Source organism: Homo sapiens, chromosome 10, assembly GCF_000001405.40.
Source record: "Homo sapiens chromosome 10, GRCh38.p14 Primary Assembly".
In the NCBI taxonomy this organism is placed as follows: domain Eukaryota; kingdom Metazoa; phylum Chordata; class Mammalia; order Primates; family Hominidae; genus Homo; species Homo sapiens.
Genome location: NC_000010.11, coordinates 78,542,640 through 78,548,008, shown reverse-complemented (window position 1 = coordinate 78,548,008; position 5,369 = coordinate 78,542,640). Strand labels below are relative to the sequence as shown.

At 49.0% G+C, this 5,369-nt stretch overlaps 2 annotated features.

Moving 5' to 3' along the window:
* Window positions 1,991-2,191: a silencer, noted in NCBI's record as "peak1025 fragment used in MPRA reporter construct". NCBI's record gives its function as "represses an SCP1 promoter by STARR-seq MPRAs in K562 erythroleukemia cells {active_cell/tissue: K562}" and the evidence as "EXISTENCE:reporter gene assay evidence [ECO:0000049][PMID:32103011]".
* Window positions 3,946-4,447: an enhancer, noted in NCBI's record as "H3K4me1 hESC enhancer chr10:80303319-80303820 (GRCh37/hg19 assembly coordinates)". NCBI's record gives its function as "activates a minimal SCP1, AML or CMV promoter by ChIP-STARR-seq in primed H9 embryonic stem cells {active_cell/tissue: H9 hESC(primed)}" and the evidence as "EXISTENCE:reporter gene assay evidence [ECO:0000049][PMID:30033119]".

Here is a 5,369-nt window from a genome sequence, read left to right as displayed (position 1 = left end):
AATTAGGAGGGGCACATCCTGCATGGCTTTTTCTTGACAGCAGTGGAGCACCACAGGCAGGTTCCAAGCAGGGGCATGAGAGAGAAACTGAGATGGCTATTATGCTTACCAGGCTTCACTATGGCACATTGGGAAAATGACTTCACACCCATGTTGGAATGGGAAAGGGGGACCTCCTGATGCCTCCCTAGACCCCTGATGCCCTTGGGAATGTTCTGCTTGAACTTGTGGTTCCAAAACCAGGCTGTAGGCTGCAAAGGGGGAGGTTGTGCCCGAAGCTGCGGTGTGTGTGTTCCTATAATCATTAAGACGAGTTCCTGAGCTGCTGGGTAGCTAACTCTAGTCGGTGTCAGGGTAATTAACCAAACTGCCTGAACTTTATTCACAGCCTGACAAGGTGCACTCTTGAGACTTGTCACTGTGGTTAGTCGGGGGGCGGGGGACTTGACATAAGGCTGATTAGGGAGTGTTTTACACAGCAAGAAGCTCTCTGATCTTCAGCTGAGCAGGACTACCCCCTTTCAGCTCATAGGAGAAATGCCTGTGAGGGTAGAGAATAAAGATTATCCAGTCCAACCCCCTCATTTTCAGATGAGAAAGCAGCCATTCTGAGTATGGCCACGGTTTTCCCAAGGCCAAGTGGAGAGTTTGTTCTGGAGGTGAGGTGGTATTACCACCAGCTCCTCATGGCTCCACTCCATCTTTTTTTTTATTGTCCAAAAAATGCTATTTCCTAACCAGCATTTCTTAAATTTAATGCGCATAGGAATTACCGGGGAGCTTGCAAAAATGCAGATTCTGATTCAGAGGGTCTGGGTAGGGCTGAGGTTCTACATCTCTAGCAAGCTCCCAGCTGATGCCAATGCTGCTGGTCTATGGACCATCTTATGCACAGCAAGGAGCTCAAAAGACCCTTTCCCAGAGGCCACCTTTAACTCCAGTGGAATTGGCATAAGTTGTCTTAGCGTGGGTCTCACTAACTGCAATTGGCCCTGAAACCTAAGACTCCTGAGATCAGAGCTGCTCTGATTAAAGGGTTCTCAGAGGTCGTACACTCCAGCTCCTGTGCATACCTGAATCCCCTTGTTCTGGTTGGGGCTCCTTTAGATTTCAATCAACTAACTTAGTTCCCTTGAATAAAACAGGGTCTAAAGCATCGCAGGAAAGCCAGGGCAAGAAATGCCATCTGCTCACTTGCTCCACTCCCCACCCTCTGAGGACCGACTTACTTATCAGGTTATTCATCCTCGCAAAAAAATTAAAGATAAAATAAAATAACTGCCACCCAGCTCCCCAAGGCTGTGTGAACTTCAAACCCCAGTGCCCATCATAGCTAGAAACTTCTCTTTTTCCCCCTTATTTCAACTTTCTGAAAGGGACAATTGGATGGATACAGTTGATCTGTTTGAGCTGCTTTTCTTCTCTGGGCCTCAGAAAGCCCTGCAACAAAATGGAAAGACTTGCCTAGGTGGTCTTTCAGGTATTCCAAAGTACTGATTCTCTATGCCTCTAAGGTGCTTTGCAGCCAAGTGCTTTAGAAAAAAATACCTTTACCCTGGTCCCTGGGAAAGACGTTTATACAAAGAGGTTGCATTTGGGGCTCTCCTCTGGTGAAATAACAACAAAATCTAGCCAAGAAAATGGGAAGTTTTAATATTTCATTTATGAGATTGATTCCATGATGCCATTGCCAAAGAGTGATTATCCCAACAAGAATATGAATAGTTACAATTCTCAAGGCCCAATTCTCAGGGAGGCTTTGTAGGCATTTGACTTGGAGTCAAAAGGATTGGGTTTCCACATCACCTCTGTGGGCAAGTCCTAAAGTCTCATTTCATATGGAGAAAACTGAGGTTTTTTCTTAGATCTGGTATTCAATGATTCCAATCTAATCATTATTTTATTTTAAAATTCTAAGTCCTTTCTTGACTGAGACTTGGAGTGAGGACAAAATGTTGCTACTCCTACAAACTCCCAGGCATATCTGTAGCTTGTACCTTATCAGGTTCCCCAGCTCCCAGTTGCCAAGGGACGTTTGAGTGCGTTACACAGGAAGTGTCATGGCACTCTCCAATGGGGGCTTGTTTTTCAGGTTGCACTTCAATAAGAAAAGCTTTTAAAAAAAAAAAAAAAAAGCCAAGAGAATTTATACCTCTTTTCTGTAACCCCTGCCCTCACGCTTCCACTGCAGCTCTTCATCTCCATTGCTGTAGCACAAAACAGAATGACATCCTATGGAAAGTACAGAGTTCCTAGAAAACAATGATACTGAGTTTTTAGCAGCCAAGGTCACCTAGGCATGACAGAAACTCTTAACACTTACGTTTTTGAAGTCAGAAGAGGATATTTGAGCTCAGACTGGGCTATGTGGGACCAGGTCACTGTGAGACACCTAAGGAGGATGCAGAGACGGCACCCTTCCTAGACAAATGCCAGGGACACCCTTCCTAGACAAATGCCCAGGCATGAATATGGGTGAAGTCTTCCCTGCAATTCCAGCAGCTTCCTGCCAACCCTTAGCCCACTCAAGCCTACCTGTGGACCACCTGTTATGGACTGAATGCTGGTGTCTTTCCAAAATTCATATGTTGAAACCTTACCACTCAGTGTAATGGGATTAGGAGGCAGGGCCTTTGGGCGGTAATTTGGTCATGAAGGTGCAGCCTGCATGAATAAAATCAGTGCCCTTATAAAAGGGACCCCATGTGAGGATACGACTAGAAGTTGGTTGTCTGCAACCAGGAAGAGGGCCCTCACCATAATCTGATGATGGCAGCATGCTGATCTCAGACTTCTAGCTCCAGGACTGTGAGAAATACATTTCTGCTATTTATAAGCCATCCAGTGTACAGCATGTTTGTTAAAATACCACCATGCTTCAGGGTTGCATCTCTTTGTGTCTATCTCAGCCCTGTTGGATCTAAGCTGCATTTTGCACCTGAGATTCTGGAGCCCAGGTCAGCAGCTGCCCCGCCCCGGGGTTATCTCCAGTAGTGCACAGGTGACACCTACATTGCATGTCCTTGGTCTTCACAATTCAACCAGGCATTGACTAGCAGTGGGAATGTGCTAAGGGAGCCATGCCAGGCAGGGTGTGCTTTTGTACAAACTGACTTAGCTTTTAAACAAAAACTGCTTTGGCCAGACATTTGTGTGCAAGCATCAGCTTACAGCAGGGAACAGCACTCTGTGGGCTCACGAAAAATATATGGAGGAGGCCAGATGGAGGTGTGCTGTGGCTGTGGCCTGCTGCATGGTGACAAAGGGCTGGAGGCTTTGAGTTTTGTTTGTTTTCCAAGTCCAGACCAGCAGTGGACGGGGAATCTGGAGGCCTGCTTCCTAGTCCCATGTCTGACACTCTGTTACCCAAGAACAAGGCTCCTGATGCCACAGGATCTCAATTTTCCTGTCTATGACACAGAGGGAGGTAGTGGATTACATGCTTTCTTGCCTCTGGCCTAAGCACGTTCCGATTATATGCCGAAGGAGGAGGCAAGACAAGATAAGAGGTCTCGCTTCAGCCGTTTCCTCCTTCAGGGTCTGGTCTGGGTCTCCTGATACCCAATACCAAGTGGTCCCCATCTACCCCTCCCCTGGTCCTGAAAGCTGGGGCTTTGTGGCAGGTAACACAACTTGCCTTGTGTTCTTCACTTGAGTGCTCTTGAGTTTCTGCTCCCCAGAAAGATCAGTTTCTTGCCAATGTCATCACTTTTAGCCAGCAGGGACCTATCAGCGGCTCCATCAGGCACTGGGGGCCCCAGCCCCCCTTGGCTTAAAGTCTGAGCCCTGGGAACACTGGGGAAACTTAATTCTCGAACACCTTCCACTCAAAGAGCCACTGTTCTGCAGAACCAGTGCTGGCCCCTGTATTTCAACAGCTTTCGGGTGGGTTTCCCACCCCAGACGTCGATAGGGCCTGAAACGCCTGTGAATGTATTGACCTGACTTCACCCGCAGGCTCAGTTTCAAAGGGTTGGCTGAGCTCTGAGCCCGCCCTCATTCCATCTGAGGCTCAGCTCCTGGAAACCTCAGGCTGGATCTCAGTTACTGGGAAGCCTTGCTCTGAATGTGGGTTTTCACTCAGTGTTTCCCGATGAGCCATTTCTTGTGGCAGGACGCCCACCTCTTAGGGGAAACAGCCTTCATTCTGGGAACTTCTTGCTTCATCTCTCCTTCTGTCTATGCCAGAGGTTGCTATGAAGGGGCATGCACTTAGCTGGCAGGAGAAACGGGGTGCAGCTGTGCCTGCCCTTCTTTCTCACTGCCACTGTGCCACCTTGGACGAGTCATTTCTCCTCTGTGGATGCCGGGTTCCCCCTGGGCTTATAGCAGTAGGTCTGCCTTTCTCATTGAGAGAAATAAAAGTGCTTTGTAAATAGGAAGCACTACGTAATGCTATTAGGGAATCCACTCAACAAGGAGTATTGGGGACTTTTTGCTATTTCCCTTCCTGTGACTGAGAAATTAGCAGGCACAGATTGTGAAAAACCAGCCGGCTCTTTGGAATTACAAATGTGCACACACCATCCCACTGAGCATCATTTTCAAAAGGCATATTAAGCAGCAGAGACCACAGGGGGGACCCATGTAAACAGGCCTCAGATCCTGGTGAAAAAGGCTCCCAGAAGCTGTCGTCTACTGAGCTGTTAGGGGCTGCTCCTGCTTTCTGCCCCCAACCCCGCAGCCCTGGCTGGTGAGAACTCATCTCCCAGGGAGAGGGTTCTGGTTCATGGTGAGGGGCAGGGTCCTGGTGCCATGCAGGGCTAGTGCTGCTCCAGGTCCACAGTGTGCCTTCAAGACCCAAATCCCCCAGGGCTTGAAGCTCTCCAGAACCTCACCCCCAGATACATCTCCCAATGTCATTGGCGGCACCCCATGTTTTTTCCTGTTACCCCACAGCAGGCCAGGGGGAATGTTGCCTGTACTGGACCAGTGAGGACGCTGAAGCCCCCTGAGTTGAATGAACTGGCTGAAGACGAGGCTCCCTGTTGTGGTGCTGGAATTTGACTTGGTACCCACTCCCAGCCCTTGCTGTTCCCTCCATGCTCCCTGCTCCCTGCAGATGCACAAATGAAGACCAAAGTCTTGAAAGAAGCTAGGGTCAAGCATCATTAAACCCAGGAGTCTTGTGCTGATACAAGGCAGGGTCTCTCCGGATGTTGAGGCATCATGGCTGTGTTGGGCGGAACCCCTGTTTGTCAGCAAAGGTTGTGGAAGCTCGTGCTCACTCCTAGGGGCCATGGTGATGCAGACAAGTGAGGTGCACTGTGTTTGCCTGAGCTGCTGCGGGCTGTGCTGGGCAGGCCACTCCTCCCTCCTGAGGTGACATCCCACATGACCAGCTTCACAAGGCAGCTTTCCTGAACATG